Source organism: Homo sapiens, chromosome 4, assembly GCF_000001405.40.
Source record: "Homo sapiens chromosome 4, GRCh38.p14 Primary Assembly".
In the NCBI taxonomy this organism is placed as follows: domain Eukaryota; kingdom Metazoa; phylum Chordata; class Mammalia; order Primates; family Hominidae; genus Homo; species Homo sapiens.
The window spans coordinates 82,851,210-82,871,647 of NC_000004.12; the positions used below are offsets into that span (position 1 = coordinate 82,851,210).

Sequence of the window (20,438 nt, forward strand, 5' to 3'; positions counted from 1 at the left end):
GGAATCTATCGCACTGCAAGATTATCCTATCTCTCTAACACAGCTTAGATACACCTAAAATGATCCCTGAAGAATTGTCAATAACATTTACCTGCAGTCAGGTTACAGAAATTCAACTGCTCCAAAACATTCTACCTACTAATATGTTTACATCTAATGCTAAGTGTTATCTACTGGACTCACCTTACTCAAACATTACAAAAATGGTCAATTCTAATTACCTGGTTGGTGTTGTCAGGAAGAAAAGCCAAGGCTGCAGCAATACTGCCCTGAGCTGCCAACAAATTGGCATACTGACTCATCTTCGCAGCCAAGAGAACTCCTACAGTACTAGTGTCCATGGCTTGAGTGAGTTGCACAGCTTTTCGCAGGATGACAACTTTCTCAATCAGATCCTAAATGAAAAAAATGAGTAACAAACAGAAATATCAAGACCATGTATGAGAGGAAGCAGGAAAAGATCAAGAGTTACTAAGATTTCTAAAACCCACTAAAAATATAGTACCTGTTATCATCCCTCCTAGAAAAGTACAGCCACTATTTAGGTAAGTGAAAAAGTAGTAAGGAGGAAGAAGGCCTCTTACTTATGGATAGGGTAGGATAGGAAGGTTACCACCTTTTCCTAAATATCCTTAAGCTACCAGATACTTGTCTAGTGAGCTAAAACAGGCAAATACTCAAAGTGAAAATGATAGGCAGATGTCTAAAGGTAGAAACTGTGTTCTAGCCTGTATGGGAGGAACTATGAGTGAAAATATCTGATATGGTTTGGTTGTGTCCCCACCCAAATCTCATCTTGAATTCTAGCTCCCATAATCCCCATGTGTCATGGGAGAAACCCAGTGGGAGGTAATTGAATCATGGGTCAGGTTTTTCCAGTGCTGTTCTCTTGACAGTGATCTGATGGTTTTATAAAGGGCAGTTCCCCTGCACATGCTCTCTTGCCTGCCACCATGTAAGACGTGCCTTTGCTCCTCCTTCACCTTGAGCCATGACTGTGAGGCCTCCCCAGTCATGTGGAACTGTGAGTTCATTAAACCTCTTTTTCTTTATAAACTACCCAGTCTTGGGTATTTCTTCATTGCAGTATGAAAATGGACTAATACAACATCACACCATCTATCCTATAAAAATAGTACTACTATGAGGTGACCCATAGACAGAGGCATGTGATTTCCAAAGGAGTTTACTATTTTAACTCAAAGCTCTCATGTGCCATTCAATACCAAATCTTTCCACAATGGGGAGCTATGCTTCTGGTAGAAAGCAGAAGGATAGCCTACCTTTCTGCCTTTCCTAAGTGCATAAATCCAAAAGGGTAAAACAAGTGTTTTTCTCTGAGAAGCTCTTAAAAGGAAAACCTTGATTTCCTACCCATTTTTTTTGTTTCAATAGAGTGATCTTTAAAGCACTGACTCTGTTGAGAAAATCTCTTTCCAGAAAGAGAAATATTATATGGTAAAATTATCATAAGCCTCTTTGATTTAAATGCTTAGAAAAAAATATCTAATATATAGTTAGTACCTGAGAATAGTCCCCACATTTTCTACTTCCTCTCTTGCTTGTGTATTGGTGTCACATGGCAGTGGTCCCCAACCTATTTGGCACCAGGGACTGGTTTCGTGGAAGACAATTTTTCCACAGGCCAGCAGGGGGGATGGTTTCAGGATAAAACTGTTCCACCTGGCCTGTTCCATAAGGTATTAGATTCTGATAAGGAGGATACAACCTAGATCCGTTGCATGCACAGCCCACATAAGGGTTCGTGCTCCCACGAGAATCTAATGCCACCACTGATGTGAAAGGAAGCAGAGCTCAGGCAATAATGCTCGTTCACCCACTGCTCACCTCTTGCTGTGAGTCCAGGTTCCTAAGAGGCCACAGAAGGGTACTGGTTTATGGCCTGGGGGTTGGGGACCTCTGCTACATGGGATTCCATTTACCTCTCACTTTCATTTTCCTTTAACCATAAAGATTCTCTACTGGCATTGGGGATGCCTCCTATTCCTTTACCCACATTGCTTCTTTCTTTGCTCATGGCAGGCAGAGCCACTGGAAGCAGACAGAGGAGCACACAGAAAAAGAGGTAAACCCTAGAGCTGTTTTCAATCCTCCTGCCACCTATTTCCCCCAATAAACTCACAAATCACAACCATGATTTTACAACAGCTGCAACCCCATTTTCCTATCCTATCATCTCAAACTTTGCTTCTTCAAAGATAGCAATAAATGCATATAATTATCCAGCAAAAGAAGTTCTTGAATGTATAGAAAAAATGAACTTATAGATTATAACTTGATGATAAGTAGGGTGAAAGACAACACTAAAAATTAAGTGCCTTTTGTTTCAAAGATACTACCTGAAGTGACAAAGGGTGGCTTCCATCTTGAGCTTTAGTCCAACATGCAACTAATTTCTCTACATTCCCTGCACAAATATAGCAGAGACATGCTTGAGTCTGCAGGAGGCTATCTCCTTCATTTTCAAGCCTGGTTCCCAAAAGATCTGTAAGTAAGAGGAAAATAAAATAAGATTATACCCAAGGCAATCTGTATATGAGGCTGTGAGCAGCTAAATAATATTTTCAGAGGCATGGATTAAGCTTCATAACCAATGAATAGCATAGAGAAACAAAATCACTCTAAATGCTCAGTAAATATGCATTTGTTAAATGAATGGGAATGAAAAATTGTATACAATAAATGATTTTACAAAACTATTATCTAACTGTACAACTAATTTTTATTAATTAAATTAGAAAAACAATAAATGGGAACAACATTTGAACAAAAAAACCCTAAAGGCACATTTGGAATAGATTTATCAATGTTAGCTAAGTCTAGTATAAATTACTTATAAAAATGCAGTTATGGCTGGGCATGGTGGCTCACGTCTGTAATCCCAGCAGTTTGGGAGGCTGAGACGGGCAGATCAGCAGAGGTCAGGAGTTCAAGACCAGCCTGGCCAACATGGTGAAACCCTGTCTCTACGAAAAATGCAAAACTAGCCAGGCATGGTGGTGCATGCCTATAATCCCAGCTACTTGGGAGGTTGAGGCAGGAGAATCACTTGAACGCAGGGGGTGGAGGTTGCAGTGAGCCAAGATTGTGCCATCGCACTCCAGCCTGGGCAATAAGAGCAAAACTCCGTCTCCAAAAAAAAAAAAAAAAGCAGTTAGTATTTTGTAATTTTTATATTCTTATAATTATTTCAAGGCAGCAAATGGCTATTTGTTTTTATACTAGTAGCCTTAAGCTTTTCTTGCAAATATTTATTCCTTGGCCACCAGTTTAGTCATGGCCTATAATGGTAATTTCTATTCTAATGTTATTATTAATTTTATCATAGCTAATATTTATTAAGTGAGAGTTACTTATGGTCTATTTCACAGATGAATAAACTGAGGCTTAGAAAGTAGTTCTTCCTAGATCATACAGCTACTAAGTAGCAGAGGCAAGATTCCAACTCTTGTCTGTCTGAAACCAAAATCACTAGTAGATTTAAAAAAAAAAAAAAAAGAGTAGGTATGAAGACGTATTTAATAAATCTGAGAAAGGCACTGAAATGAGAATTTTTCTTTTTTGTGATTTGTAGATTTTAAAAAGTTTCTAATAAAATTTGTCATTTAAGTTTATTTACAATATACCCTGCCACGTATGTAAATGCAGTTAAATATAAAGCACATCTCTTACCACAAAGGGCTGAAAATTCATCCGGCTTTGCATAAGTCAATACTGCAGCTAAAGCCTCTCTCCAATTTTTAAGATCACAAGACTCAACAATCTCTTTCCAGTTCTTCATCACCACTGCAGTGATGAGCTTGAGAAACGAAAACAAAGGAAGAATTAAAAGTCTTTAACATAGCAATAAAAATTAATTCTGACTAATTAATTGTGTCAAGTATTTCATGCCAAATGCAGCAGCAAAATGAAGTATAATTTTGAATCAAATGACATAATAATGGTATTATTGTTCCTCAAGAAACAACAGCAACAACAAAAACAACTGACAACATATTTCATAAAGTGCTGAGAAGGAAAAATATAAGGTGCTATCAGAACCTTTAATAGAAAGGTGTGACCTGGTCAGATGGATCAGGAAAAACTGCCCAAGCATGTAGACTTTTGACACGTGATCTGAAGGACAAGCAGGAATTAACTTCATCAAGAAGGAAAAAGCCTTCCAGGCCAAGGGAACGACAGATGCAAAGTTCCAGTGAGAAAGGAACATGCAATGAGTGAGGGAGGAACTACAAGGCAGCCACTGTGGCTAAAAGATAACCGAGGAGAGACTGAGATGAGATGAGGCTAATGGGACTCAATACTGGTACAACTTTTATGAAAACTAATTTCAATAAAAATTACTTTTTTTATGATGTAGAAATAACACCAAGTAACCACAAAAAAGAATGAGATCGTGTCCTTTGCAGGGACATGGATGGAGCTGGAAGCCATTATCCTTAGCAAAATAACACAGGAACAGAAAACCAAATACCGCATGTTCTCACTTACAAATAGGAGCTAAATGATGAGAACATGTGAACACATGGAGGGGAACAACACACACTGGGGCCTATTGGAGGGTGGGAGGAGAGAGAGAATCAGAAAAAATGATTAATGGGTCCAAGGCTTAATACCTGAGTGATGAAATAATCTGTACAACAAACCCCTATGACACGAGTTTACTCTTAAGTTTGTTAGATATAACAAACCTGCACATGTACCTCTGAACTTAAAATAAAAGTTAAATTCCTCTTCTATGACTACAGTTCAATTTAAATAATCAGAAATTTGTACAAGTCTTTAGGCACAACAAAGGTGTTTATCACTATATAAACAAGCGTGTTTATTTCTATTTGGAAAATACTGGAAACTACCTAAACATAACAAAATAAGGGAAACATTACATCTTCTTACCATGAAATATTATAGAGCAATTAAAATTTTGGGTTTTTTTTTGAGACAGAGTCTTGCACTGTTGCCCGGGCTGGAGTGCAATGGCGTGATCTCGGCTCACCGCATCCTCTGCCTCCAAGGTTCAAGCGATTCTCCTGCTTCAGCCTCCCTAGTAGCTGGGATTACAGGTGCCCACCACCACATCCGGTTAATTTTTTGTATTTTTAGTAGAGATGGGGTTTCACCATGTTGCCAGGCTGGTCTTGAACTCCTGACCTCGTGACCCCCCCACCTCTGCCTCCCAAAGTGCTGAGATCACAGGCGTGAGCCACTGCGCCCAGCCGCAATTAAAAAATTTAATAAGGCCAGGCACGGTGGCTTATGCCTGTAATCCTGGCACTTTGGGAGACCGAGGTGGGCGGATGACCTGAGGTCAGGAGTTCGAGACCAGCCTGACCAACATGGTGAAACCCCATCTCTACTAAAAATACAAAAATTATCTAAGCATGGTGGCGGACGCCTGTAATCCCAGCTACTTGGGAGGCTGAGGTAGGAGAATCGCTTGAACCCAGAAGGTGGAGGTTGCAGTGAGTCAAGATCACGCCACCGGACTCTAGCTGGGGTGACAGAGCAAGACCCCGTCTTTAAAATTATTAATATATACAAAAACAACAAAACTAGAATAATCATGCCAAAATGCCAACAACTATTTCCAGGTCAAGGAATTATGAATGAGCTTTTAAAATTCTTTACTGGTTTCTGCATTTCAGTTATCTATAATAACAGTGTATTGTTTTTATAATTAGAAAGATAAATACGTTATTGCTTATTTTTAAAATAACATACCCTGGTAATTTTGCTTTGGGATTTTGCGAAGTATTTTTTCTGGGTTCGAGCCAAGAGTTCTTGTCCACCTGCTATGGCCAATATAATGGCATCGGCCATGCGGTTATCATGTAAACAAAGGTCAACAGCACTCTCAAAATTGCCCGTCAGCAAAGCCTGAGTAATTAAACCATCAATGTCTGCAACAAGAAAATAATACATCCAAGTTAAATAGAGTTTTTGTTACCAAAACCAACAACAAAGTACTACATCTATCAATTTTTATATATATACATGAATGGAGACCACAACACTAATTTCTGATTACTAGTGGATTAATTTCTAACACAAGCTATTGGTATTTATGGAAGAGGTCTACAGAAATATGCTGAGATAAATACAAAATAATACATTTTCCAGATGCTTTAACTGGATTATCAAAGATCACCTAGGTGTCTGAACACACCAGCCTTCCCAAGGCACTGATCACATATACTGTACTAAAGGAAAAGTGAGTTCTTTCTCACACTCTACCACCTGTGATAAAACTTTTTTTTTTGAGACAGCGTTTCACTATGTTGTCCAGGATAGCCTCAAACTCCTGGGCCCAAGTGATCCTCCTGCCTCAACTTCCCAAGTAGCTGGGACTATAAGCATGCACCACAGCACCTGACTTGAAGCATTTTAACTTAAATGCAGGAACTATTTGTTTTCCAATGGTTAAAAAAAATTAGAAATCAAAACCAACAAGTACTTACCCCCACTGACAGAGATATTAAATGTTCCTCCAGATGAGGGTAGAAATTCAGATTCTTCTTTTTCCTCTTTAATGTGCTAAAGAGATGAAAAAAGCAACAATTTAGCCAGAATAAAACTGTGGAATGATTTACTGACAAAAAAAATTTACACATGATTCTTCATCTACAGAGTAGATGACATACCAAGTTATTCCAGAAAAGTTCTCAGATCCAAATTTACAACTAAGATCTATGCCTTCCCTAAATATTACCTCCCATTATATAATCATAAATAAAATCCAAGGTCATGAAGAATACTGGTTAAACAGGCTGGGCACAGTGGCTCACGTCTGTAATCTCAGCACTTTAGGAGGCCAAGGCAGGCAGATCACTCGAGGTCAGAAGCTCGGGACCAGCCATGCCCAACATGGTGAAACCCCATATCTACTAAAAATACAAAACTAGCCGGGCATGGTGGTGCGTGCCTGTAATCCCAGCACTTTGGGAGGCTGAGGTGGGCGGATCACAAGGTCAGGAGATCAAGACCATTCTGGCCAACATGGTGAAACCCCGTCTCTACTAAAATACAAAAAATTGGCCGGGTGCTGTGACTCATGCCTGTAATCACAGCACTTTGGGAGGCCGAGGCGGGCAGATCACGAGGTCGGGAGATCGAGACCATCCTGGCCAACATGGTGAAACCCCGTCTCTACTAAAAATACAAAAATTAGCTGGCGGCAGTGGTGTGCACCTGTAGCCCCACCTACTCGGGAGGCTGAGGCAGGAGAATCACTTGAACCCAGGAGGCGGAGGTTGCAGTGAGTTGAGATTGCGCCACTGCACTCCAGCCTGGCGACAGAGCGAGACTCTGTCTCAAAAAAAAAAAAAAAAAAAAAAAAAAAAGAACACTATTAAATAAACTAACATGTACATATTCATTACTGGTATCTCAGTAATGAGGCTGAAGAATCTTTGTTTTCTTAGGTAACTATGAGTGGCTCAAAATATGGAAAATATATTATTTATTTATTTATTTATTTAATTTTATTTTTTGAGACAGAGTCTCACTCTGTCACCCAGGCTGGAGTGCAGTGGCGCACTCTCGGCTCACTGCAAACTCTGCCTCCTGGGTTCACGCCATTTTCCTGCCTCAGCCTCCCGAGTAGCTGGGACTACAGGTGCCCACCACCATGCCTGGCTAATTTTTGTATTTTTAGTAGAGACGGGGTTTCACTGTGTTAGCCAGGATGGTCTCGATCTCCTGACCTCATGATCCGCCCTCCTTGGCCTCCCAAAGTGCTGGGATTACAGGCGTGAGCCACCACGCCAGGCCGGAAAATATATTTTTAAATTATACTATTTTTAAATTTTAAAACAAACCTACTTTTACACATCTAAGAATTCCTGTCCACTGGATTTGATTATAAAGTGTTTTTGTTTTTAACTGAATCATAAAAAAAAATGAAAAAAAAATCACATGGTACCCATAACATAAAAGTAATATAAGTACATTATTTATTAATACACTTAAATTCAAGTATACATTTTGTGTTTACTCAAATTAGTCATACCTGGAACAGTGGGTTAGTCTGGTAAAAATATACACAGTTCTGTTATAAATTTCTGAGACTACCTGCAAGACTGATTAAAAATAAACTCAATGCTTTCTTTAGAAGAAATATAATGGGGGCATTTTGCTGGCAAATAATTTTAAATGCTTTCTCTCCCATGCATAAAAATTCAAAATAAGACAAAAATATATCAGAGATTAGAGATAAATTTTTAAAGAAAAACAAAGCTTTCTTACATGAGATGAAATATCTGTCTTCTGTGCTATGTTATCTACACATCTGAATGTAAATATCTAGTATTCAAGTTCAGTGGCATTTTAGAACTGGGTAATTTTAATGCAGAGTACAGCACTGCACCATCTGCAAATACACTTAATTATTAATGTTGACTATTACAGGAGAATATCTATAACCCTAATTCCCTTTCCCCAACTAAAGAGAAGCATTTGGAATTTAAAAACTAAAAGAAATTAAGAATTTAAGTTATTCACATTAAGGAATAAATCAGAGACACTGATCTAATTACATTCATTAACAAACTTGCATAAAAATATTTTTTTTTTTTTTTTTTGAGACAGGGTCTCGCTCTGTCGCCCAGGCTGGAGTGCAGTGGCGCATTCTCAGCTCACTGCAAGCTCCACCTCCTGGGTTCATGCCATTCTCCTGCCTCAGCCTCCCAAGTAGCTGGGACTACAGGCGCCCCACCACAACGCCTGGCTAAATTTTTGTATTTTCAGTAGAGGTGGTGTTTCACCGTGTTAGCCAGGATGGTCTTAATCTCCTGACCTCGTGATCTGCCCGCCTCGGCCTCCCAAAGTGCTGGGATTACAGGCATGAGCCACTGCGCCTGGCCACTTTTCTTTTTTTTAACTCATTATTTCTCAAATTTGCTTTCTAGAAACAATTTATCCTTATTTATGGACTTCTGAACGAGATATAAGGTCAAAAAATGCACAATTTATTAGGTATTGAGTGCCTTCAATGTGTAAGCTACTATGAAACAAATAGCTCATTGAGACAAAGGGGAAGATTTTACCTCCTTAAACACATTTTTTCAAAGAACCAAAAGTACACATTGATGACTACTATTTCATTAAATGCATATATTTCTTACCTATTATTCATGAGTGCATTCCCAAATGATCTTCTATTTGATAATACATAGTCTAGTTGTACATAAATGAAAGTACATTTCTCTATGTATCTTACAATTCTGTCTAAATATTCTCAAAATTAGTTCTTTTCTTTTTTAAATCAGACAGGGTCTTGCTCTGTCACCCAGGCTGGAATGCAATGGTGTGATCATAGCTCACTCCAACCACGAACTCTTGGGCTTAAGTGATCCTACCTCAGCCTCCCAAATAGCTAGGACTACAGGCATGTGCCACCACGCCTGGCTAATTTTTTATTTTTTTTTTTAGAGATAGGGTCTCACTATGTTGTCCAGGCTAGTCTTGAACTCATAGCCTCAAGTGATCCTCCCACCTTGGCCTCCCAAAGTGCTGGGATTACAGGCATAAGCAAACATCATGCCTGGCCTAGTTCAAAGTTTTAGTAAAGATTTTATCCATATCCTTTATTCCCTTGTTAATTAAACTCTAGGAGATCCACTTCTAAGGAGAATGATTTTTGCAATCATCTTGTAATAGACTAAATTTACTTATTTTTATAACTTAGTAAAAAATTATACATAACATTCCATAGTCAAGATATCACAAAGAACAATGAAAAAGCCAAAGATGAGATGAGAAGAACTTGTTGATTAATTTTCCAAGATGAAATAAAATTAGAAAGCAAGAAAAGTAAATTACAGATTTGTTCATTAGTGGTTAAAAAAAAAAAAACACCCAGAAAATTAAAAGGAAAAATTAATGATGTAACTCTGTGTTCAAGGACTCTTCTCAATTATTTACAAAAATTATCAACTAAGGACACATTTATTGAAAATCATGACAATAAGTTTAGTGAAATATCCTTTACTTCAACTCCATGTTCAGTACTAATTCAGAGGCCTATTAGCCACTGATAGTTGGCCCAAAATTATAGGCCAAGAAAAACATTAACTTTACATGCAATGCAATGCAGTGAGGATGTTTGAATAAAATCTCTTTTCAGTTTGACATCCTGAGAGTCATCTGACCAAATTATGTTAATCTCACATCAACTGTTAGTTTTAAACCATATAATCCAGAAACAAGGTTGGAGAACTAGAGTCTGGAGATGATACTTCTGTCAGTATAGGTAGATAGATTCCTATCCTAAACATCTCAAAGAAAACAATTTACTTCAACTTTATTTTGCCATAAGTAGTCAAGAAAATTTTCCTTATTTTAATGTGAGATACACAAATATCACAAATTTGTCCAATATAATATGAAAAAAAAATAAGTACCTCTCCCAAGAGCTGCTCTTCAGCAGCAGGGCTCTCCTCCCCATCACTCTGTGCTACTTGGTCAGAGTCTTTAAGAGCCTTTGGTACACAAAACAATTACAGGGGAAGGTGAAGAATGTAGTATTAAAAGGCTATTAGTGAACCAGGAAGACAAAAGACCCAACCAACAACATTCAGAGCTAGTTTAATCATAAGAAGCAACAGTGAGTAAATTTATTTGAGAAATACCATTAGAGGAAAAGCAAAGAACTATTACTGCTAACACTTTCCCATTCTTTTTTTTTTTTTTTTTTTTTTTTTTGAGACCGAGTCTCACTCTGTCGCCCAGGCTGGAGTTCAGTGGCACGATCCCGGCTCACTGCAACCTCCGCCTCCCAGTTCAAGCAATTCTCCTGCCTTAGCCGCCCAAGTAGCTGGGATTACAGGCATGTGCCACCACGCCCAGCTAATTTTTGTATTTTTAGTAGAGACAGGGTTTCACCATGTTGGTCAGGCTGGTCTTGAACTCCTGACCTCAGGTGATCCACCTGCCTCGGCCTCCCAAAGTGCTGGGATTACAGGCATGAGCCAACACACCCGGCCCACTTTCCCATTCTTTCCTACCATTTTTTTTTTCCTGGCCAAAAAAAAAAAAAAAAATTTTATCTTAAGTATTTGAGTAGTCATTAATTCTGTTTTTCCTGCTTTACAAAATTCAAATATGTATGTCAAGAGAAAGGAATGCTCTACCAGCTAAGCTCATGTTATTTTAAAATGAGAATTATTAATTTATTAAAATATCTAGAATAAGCATTTATTTTTATACCATAAAGCATAAAACACAAATTTCTTAAATGATATTTCCTTCTTCGTTATGACCTAGCCAAAGTTTTAGAAGGTAGCTATTTTTAAAGGCCTTCTTACCACATTGGCTCCATCCACTTTGTTCAAGGCCAAAGCAATCTGAAATAAAAATAACAGCTCACCTACTACATGGAATTCTATTTCAGAGCATCCAGCAAATGTTCACCTCTTGCTTCTCACTGGCGAAAATCCACAAAAGTTCTTATAGGAATAGTATGTTTAAAAAAATTAAAAAAGCTATGCAGAACTGGTTCTCCATGGTGCTAGCTTCTTTCACATGGAAGTAATTAGAAATAATCCGACAATCATTCTATTTCCTCATTTTTTGCCATCAGGCATGCAAGTAAAACTTTCATATCAATCTCTTACAAGCCTAAAAAAGTTACAGCCTCAAGAAGTTTAGACTACTAATAAAGTTAAATATAAAACTCTAAAGGAGTGAGCAAAGACATAGCCACTAAGCAGTGGGGTTGTGATGTGATCTTAGTTAGTTCTGCCTGACATCAAAAGAGCACTAATCTTCAATATGCACTTAAAGTGCACAGTATACCTCTACCACACATGCAACAACCTGCAATGCTATAGAAAACTCTAGCCATTTCCAAAGAATGATGAAAGGCTAATACAAGTTACATAGTCATTTATCAATATGTATTCAAAACTCTGGCAACCACTGTGGGTAATGATGGAGAATAAGAAAAAGAAAAAGGGAAAAAACGCTGGCAACCAAACACAAATTATTATTAAATGTTTATTGGGTGATTTGAGATAATCTGTGTAGAACTTTATTTTTTAAAAGTATGATTCATAAAGAGCATGCCATCTAACTTTCCCAAAAGTTTACCTTCTTTCCTAGATCTTCTTTTCTGTATCCTAGAAGTTCAAGGTATTTTCCACGAGAATCATCCTCAAAGTTTACCTTTAAAAAAAAAGACATATTCTTAAAACAAAGACCTACATTTAAAGGCCGAATTTTTATAAGAATGAATCAAATTCCAAAGAGAATTATTAAAAATATCTGAAGTCTACATTCTAAAGATTCACTGTTTGAAGGAATCCAAAGAATAGTGGGTTTTTTTGTTTTTTATTTGGAGACCCAGCCTCAGGAGGTCCTGAGAACATGTGCCCAGAATTATTTTTTTAAATAAGTTATTTATTAATAGTAAATATACTAGTAATTAATTATCCTGGTTGAATAAAGCTTACTTTTGAACAGTAATTTCTGTAAATACAAACTTATGTCCAAAGGTTAAACTGATACAAAACTCAAACTATGTGGAATATTCTATGTCCTAAAATTCTTTCCCAAAATTATTACAAAATATAAATTCTTTAATTTTATACTTTAACCTAACTGTATTCAAGACTGCTTTACCTTTGAAAAACCAGTACCGTATAAAGAAACAGACATTCCAGTGGAGGCAAAATGACCAACCAGGAAATTCTATTTGTTATTCTAATCTAACTCCTCTTAAAGTAAAAGGAAAAATGCCTCCAACCTCTCTCCTCTATTCCTCTTCCTCTTTTTTCATTTTCCTTAACTAGATCTACTATAGATGTTAAATATTCTGTTTTCATTATAGTAAACTCTATGTACTCATCTTCAAAATAGGTGTGCTGACTATGTCGCTCTCCTCTAAACAGACCTATTATTATTTTTTTTTACTTATTAAAAATGTATTTCATATTACACTTTTCAAAGCAGAGAAGGAAAAACTCTGGACATAAGTTAGGTTGTATGCTCTTTATAAGGCTTCTTAATTTCATGATGAATTGCTGAAATCACACTTTTTCAATTGTTTCTTTAATAGGAGGACAGATTTAGAATATAAAGGAACAGTTAAATTTGCAGATAATGAAATAATATAGCTTTAAACAGCAACTTTACCTTCAAAAAGGACCACACATTTTTCTCAAATTCAGTCTGAGAAGCATCAATTTTTTTTTGGCAATAATTGATAAATCCTTGTGACTGCACAGCCTGCTGAAGTTGGTCTGATCGGCTGAGGAACTCCTTTTCTGTTACAACCTGACTAATGAACACATGGTGCTGCTGCTGCTGCTGCTCAGCTCCCTGATGAGAAGGCATTCTGACATTCTCAAACGTAACCAGTTTGCCTCCAAACTATAAAAGAGAGAATGAACAAACTCAGTGTTAACCCAAGGATATGGCCAAAAAAAGTGCTTATAAAGTGGCCTAAACAGATAATCTGGATGAAATTAGTTGATACAACCTCTCATGCGCCACAGTCTGACACCACTTCAATTTCTGTTCTAGATGAAATGTACTTTTTTGGTTTTTTGGTTTTTTTTTTTTTGAGACAGAGTTTCGCTCTTAGTCACCCAGGCTGGAGTGCAAAGGTGGGATCTTGGCTCACTACAACCTCTGCCTCCTGGGTTCACGTGATTCTCCTGCCTCAGCCTCCTGAGTAGCTGGGATTACAGGTGCCGGCCACCATGCCTGGCTAACTTTTGTATGTTTAGTAGACAGGGTTTCACCATGTTGGCCAGGCTGGTCTTGAACTCCTAACCTCAAGTGATCCACCCAGATAGAGAAGACCAGATAGGACGATGAGAAGATTAAGCAGATCCAAAGAACAGACTTACGAGTGACATAAAACATATTCAAAGGTCCATTTTAGGAAGATTAATCTTGGAATATGTAGTAGAGATTAGAGGGGGAAAAGACAAGCAACAAATATGAAATCAAGCTATTAGAAGTTTGGCATGAAAGAATTAGGCAAGGTATCAGCAATGTAAAAGGAAGAAACAAACAAAAAGTGCTAGAGAGGATGTGGAGAAACTAGAACCCTTGTGCACCACTAGTGAGAATGTAAAATGGTAAAACGGCTATAAAATGGTATGGAGGTTCTTCAAAAACTTAAAAATAGAACCATCCTATGATCCAGCAATCCCACTTCTGGGTATATGTCCCAAAAAACTGAAAGCAGGATCCCAAAATGATAATTACAAACCCATGTTCACCACAGCATTTATTCACAATAGCCAAAAGGTGGAAGCAACCAAAATGACCATCAAATGAATGGATAAAAAAAAATGTGGTATATATATATATATATATATATATATATATATATATATATATATATACAATGCAATATTATTTGGCCTCTAAAAAGAAGTAAATTCTGTCACACTACAACACAGATAAACCTTGAGGACATTAAGCTAAGTAAAATAAGCCAGCCACAAAAAGACAAGTACTGCATGATTCCATTTATATGAGTAATTTAAAGTAGAAAACTCCTAGCAACAAAGTAGAATGTGGTTACCAGGGATTCAAGGGAAACAGGAAATGGGGAGCTGTTGTTCAAGGGCACAGAGTTTCAGTTTTGCAAGATGAGAAAGTTCTAGAGATCTGTTGCACAACAACGTGTATATAGTTAACACTACTGTAGTATATATTTAAAAATGGTTGTAGTGTATATTTTAAAATGGTTAAGATAGTAAATTTTATATTATGCATTTTTTACAATTAAAATTTTATATTATGCATTTTTTACCATTAAAAAAAGCTGGCAATTAAAAAAGAAAGCTAAAAGGATGAAGAAGAGGGAGGACACTCCCTGCAAAAAGAAAAGAAAAAAAGAAGAAAAGAAAAGAAAAAGAAGGGAGGGAGGGAGGGAAAGAGAGACAGAGGGAGGGAAAGAGAGACAGAGAGAGAGAGAAGGAAGACAAATTTAAAAGGGAGGAGGGCCGGGTGCAGTGACTCATGCCTGTAATCCCAGCACTTTGGGAGGCCGAAGCGGGTGGATCACCTGAGGTCAGGAGTTCAAGACCAGGCCAGTCAACATGGTAAAACCCCATCTCTACTAAAAATACAAAAACCAGCCAGGTGTGGTGGCACGTGCTTGTAATCCCAGCTACCCAGGAGGCTGAGGCAGGAGAATCGCTTGAACCAAGGAGGCGGAGGTTGCAGTGAGCCAAGGTTGTGCCACTGCACTCCAGCCTGTACAACAGAGTGAGACTGTCTCAAAAAAACAAACAAACAAACAAAAAAATGGAGGAGGGGAGGAATATAAAGTGTTGGCTACACAACAACAATGTAAATGTACTTAATGCCATTGAACTGTATATTTAAAAATGAACAAAATGATCAATTTTATGTATATTTTACCATGATTTTTAAAAAAGGGAAAAAAAAGAGTAGGTTCCAATTTTTCAGAGAAACCATTTTGAATGATGAAATACCCACAAGTACATCTCAAATCCCAACTTAAACCCTGATTGCTTCCATCAGAGTGACTCTATAATAACACTTTGGTATAAAAAGTCCTTTGTGCCTATGGACCATAAAAACAAAATCCACCTACTGAAAAAGAAGCACCAACAGGCCTTCGAATCCACTTGGGCGGCTTCTTCAGAGGCAGCACTATACTATGCTGAGCAGTCTGCTGTGGAATTTGTAACGGAGGAAGGGGCTGTCCTGTGCCAAAGGGATCAAGATTCCCAAAAGATGATGAAAGCTAAAAAAGATAATAATAACATAAGCATCCGACCATACACAAAGTTTCATTTTTTTCCAGTCATATCCAAAAAAATTTTTGATCACAATTGTCCAATTAACCAGCATTGTTAATCAGTGAAGTCATTTCAAAATATTACACAACACATACTTTTTTCAGGCATTATAATAGAAAACTTTAACACTTCCTATTACCTTGTCAACTTGTTTCTGTCTTAAACCATCTGTGCTACCTCCCATGATAGAATAAACACTGATACGCCCATCAAACGAAGCAGCTGATAAGACAGCAGGATTTCGGGGACACCACTGAATATCGAAGCACCACTGTGTGTTGGTGGGAAGTTCATATAACACCTAGGCCAACAAAAAACAAACAACAAAACTCAGAAAATGGTATGGCCACTTTGTAACCAAAACACCTGAATTAATGTGGTCAACAAGTATAGTTAAATTGAATATTTTTTTGTAGAAAGTATCTTTAGCCAGGAAAAAGAATACTAAGATTTTTTAAAGTGCAAGAATGATCCATTACGATGACCTATTCTGATTAACAGGAATGCAGCTTAAAATTTCAATCAGATTTGAATAAACGCATTTTAAAAACTGAGGCTTTTCTGTGTTCAAAATAATGGATGCATTTGAAAGACCAGCACACTCTATTAGAGTCAACTTTTTTTTTTCTTTTTTGAGACAGGGTCTCGCTCTGTCGCCCAGGCTGGAGTGCAATGGCAGCAGCCTCAGCTCACTGCAACCTCCACCTCCTGGGCTCAAGCAACTATTCTGCCTCAGCCTCCCAAGCAGCTGGGATTACAGGCGCCCATCATCATGCCCGGCTAATTTTTGCATTTTTAATAGAGATGGCGTTTCACCACGTTGGCCAGGCTTGCCTTGAACTGCTGACCTCAAGTGATCCGCCCGCCTTGGCCTCCCAAAGTGCTGGGATTACAGGCGTGAGCCACCGCACCCGGCCTAGGGCCAACTTTTTAAACTCTAAAAGATTAGTGATGTCCTGTCCAATTGTTTTTGTCTGGTAAGACCCAAACAACAACCATATTTAGGTTACTTGAGGATCAAATTTTAAAATCAATCTTGAGAAGGAAGAATTCACTAAGAAATCTGACTTTTAATCACGAGAGAAAACATGTACTATACACAACCTTCCTATCACTGCAGAATCCTAACAGAATTCGGCATTAACAGCTTCCTTTAGAAAGAAAATGACAGAGAAAGAACTATAGAAAATGACCTACATGAGGCTGGGCATGGTGGTTCACGCCTATAATCCTAGCACTTTGGTAGGCTGAGGTGGGCAGAATGCTTGAGCCCAGGAGTTCAAGACCAGCATGGGGAACATGGCAAAACCCCATCTCTACAAAAAAATACAAAATATTGGCCAGGCACGGTGCTGCACGCCTGTAGTCCCTGTTAGCTGGGAGGCTGAGGTGGGAGGACTGATGGAGCCCAAGAGGTCAAGGTTTCAGTGACCCGTCATGGTGCCACTGCATTCCAGCTTGGGAGACACAGCAAGACCCTGACAAAAAAATAATTAATAGTACTAAAAAAAATAAATAAATAAATAGAAAATGGCTTATATGAAACCTTCACAATGTAATCCTTGTTGTGAACTCAAAGTTAGTATGGTGGTTAACTGCTACTCACAGAAGCAACATCTTAGGACTTTATGATAAGTCAAATGAACTTAACTCTGGCTTCATGTGACCTTCTTTTTCCTTTTTCTTTTTTTTATTTTTGAGACAGGGTCTCACACTGATGACTAGGCTGGAGTGCAGTGGCGCAATCACAGCTCATTGGAGTCTTGACCTCCTGGGCTCAAGCGATCCTCCTATGTCAGCCTCCCGAGTGGCTAGGACTACAGAACACGCCACCACACCCAGCTAATTTTTGTATTTGTTGTGGAGATGGGGTTTCACCAGCCTGCCTTGCCTCCCAAAGTGCTGAGATTACAGGTCTGAGCCACCACAAGTGGCCCACGTGACATTTAAAATGTTTCATTTTATTAAAAAATAGAATTAATTGAAAAGGTATTTAGCCTGCTCACGTCTTTGGTATTTATTTTGTTTGATAAGATGTGTGGTTTGATAAAACTTAGATGATTTATCTATCCTTTATTTGCATTTGAACAAATTCCAATTTTTATTTATTTATTTATTTTTTGAGATGGAATCTCACTCTGTCACCCAGGCTGGAGTGCAGTGGTGCGATCTGGGCTCACTGCAAGCTCCGCCTCCCAGGTTCATCCCATTCTCCTGCCTCAGCCTCCCTAGTAGCTGGGACTACAGGCGCCCGCCACCACGTCCAGCTAATTTTTTTGTATTTTTTTTTTTTTTCAGTAGAGACAGGGTTTCATCGTGTTAGCCAGGATGGTCTCGATCTCCTGACCTCGTGCTCTGCCCGCCTCAGCCTCCCAAAGTGCTGGGATTACAGGCCTGAGCCACTGCACCCGGCCAACAAAATCCAATTTTTTAGTTGTAGCATGTACTAAAAGTCTCTTCCTTCAAAGTCCAAGCACACACAACTAATCACAGGCAAAAATTCATCTAATTAAATTATATTACAGAGAAAATGATAACAGAATAGTAAGTTCCATGAATTTTGAATTTACTTGGCAAGGCACAGTGTAAAATTAAGATTTTTGTTATCTGTCCTACAAATGATATGCGGTAAAATTTATTAATTTTTTTTCTCTTGTCTCCCCTAATGTTAATGATTCTATATTGTTACATCCACAACTCTTAAACCAGAAACCAAATAACTAAAGGGCTTGTTTTAATTTTAACAATATAGATGAAAACTTATCGAAGACACTCTTTATTTTTATTAGCATTCCATCAAACTACATAAGCACTAGCAATCATCTACCTTCACATAAAAAAGGTAAAAATATAAAAGCTATAATTTATATTCTTGCTTTATCATTCAGAAGAGAGATTGGAAAACTGTATCTACTGATTTCCAGAAGTGAAAGAGGATCCTCAGGAACGGTAAAGCAGGCAAAAGATGCAAACCTTGAACAATCCTACATCGAAGATACTGATTCCCATAAACCACATGTGAAATAAATCAAAGTATTTCTGAGTCTAGGTAATAAACACATTATTGGAAATGAGGAGGGGATGGTTACTAGTTTAAAATATACTATTTGAATTACTGATTTTTCTGGTTAAAAAGCTGAGTTTAGATTATGTTCCTGATAAAATTGCTGCCAAATAAACACTGCACACACACGTCCACATACTCTTCACATAGTAATCCACTAAAGAATCCACACAGAAAATTTCTTATGTAGCCAGAAGTAACATACTATAAGGGCTACAAGGTTGAGACACATTTCCTGCCCATACCTCTCCTGTGTTTGGATTGGAGCAGAGAATCTTAGCATCTTTTCCACAGCTCAGTAACAATTCAGGATCTGCCATGCTCCAAGCAATTGCCAAAATCCCCCTATAAAAAACATAAAGGAACAAGGAAATTTTTAATCTTGAGAAAACCAAATCTCAACTATTTCTGCCTAGGTTTTGTAGATTCACACATTGTTAACAGAAATACAATTAAATGCAAGAGTTTCAGCGCCGGGCGCATTGGCTCACACCTGTAATGCCAACTACTCAGGAGGCTGAGGTAGGAGAATCACTTGAACCTGGGAGGTGGAGGCTGCAGTGAGCTGAGATTGAGCCACTGCACTTCAGCCTGGGCAACAGAGTGAGTGAGACTCTATCTCAACATAAAATAAAAAAAGAAAAACAAAAAAAGAAATAAAAATAAAATAAATGCAATATTTTCAGAAGCAACTTAGTAACGTATATGCTATCTGATCATTACAAATACATGGATGTTCAATGTAGTGCAGTGTATGACAGCAAAAAAGTGAAAACAAATGCCCAACAGACTATTTCACAATAAATTACAGACCACCCTTCCATGAGAAAATATGTAGATAAAAATTATTCTATACACTTTGGGAGGCCAAGGCAGGAGGATTATTTGAGGCCACGAGTTCAAGACCAACCTGGGCAATATAACGACACTCTGTCTCTACCAAAAAATTTGAAAATCAGCCAGTTATGGTGGCGTGTGCCTGTAGTTCCAGGCATACTCATGAAGCTGAGGCAGGAGGATTACTTGAGCCCAGAGGCTCATGGCTGCAGTGAGCTATGGTGGCTCTATCCTGGGCAAATCAGCAAGACCCCATCTCAAAATATATACGTATCATTTTGTGGAAATCAACTTCTTACCATTATATGGTATTCATGATTAACGAAAAAAGTTATCTAACTATATGCACAAATTATCCTATTTGTATAAAAATTATATTGGGATTATACATGCATACACACACACACACACACACACACACAAGTAACGTAGGTACAGTAAAATGTTTTACCTATGGATGGGCATGAAATCTAACTGCAGTAAGTCGTTACTTAATTTAGGAACTGTGACTTTAAGCAAAACAATGGATAACAAAACCAATTTTACCATAGACTAACTGATAACTGACATAAACATTAAGTTCCTACGGTGGCCCATGCCTGTATTCCCAGCACTTTGGGAGGCAAAGGTGGGCAGATCACTTGAGGTCAGAAGTTTGAGACCAGCCTGGCCAACATGGTAAAACCCCATCTCTACTAAAACTATGAAAATTAGCTGGGCGTGGTGGCGCA

At 38.0% G+C, this 20,438-nt stretch overlaps 1 protein-coding gene across 57 annotated transcripts in view; it reads right to left on the minus strand.

The window, feature by feature from the left end:
* The window catches only part of SEC31A (SEC31 homolog A, COPII component), an 82,061-nt gene that overhangs the window by 32,701 nt on the left and 28,922 nt on the right, over positions 1-20,438 (minus strand). For 25 of the 57 annotated variants that reach the window (NM_001318120.2, NM_001191049.2, NM_001318119.2 and 22 more), the window contains 12 exon segments: positions 19,116-19,215; positions 15,946-16,107; positions 15,599-15,751; positions 13,153-13,389; positions 12,109-12,183; positions 11,325-11,363; positions 10,422-10,499; positions 6,480-6,555; positions 5,743-5,921; positions 3,694-3,820; positions 2,361-2,506; positions 222-395 (listed from right to left, as the gene is read on the minus strand). In NM_001318120.2, coding sequence (NP_001305049.1) covers positions 222-395; positions 2,361-2,506; positions 3,694-3,820; positions 5,743-5,921; positions 6,480-6,555; positions 10,422-10,499; positions 11,325-11,363; positions 12,109-12,183; positions 13,153-13,389; positions 15,599-15,751; positions 15,946-16,107; positions 19,116-19,215 — 1,546 coding nt within the window. 57 annotated transcript variants of the gene reach the window in all.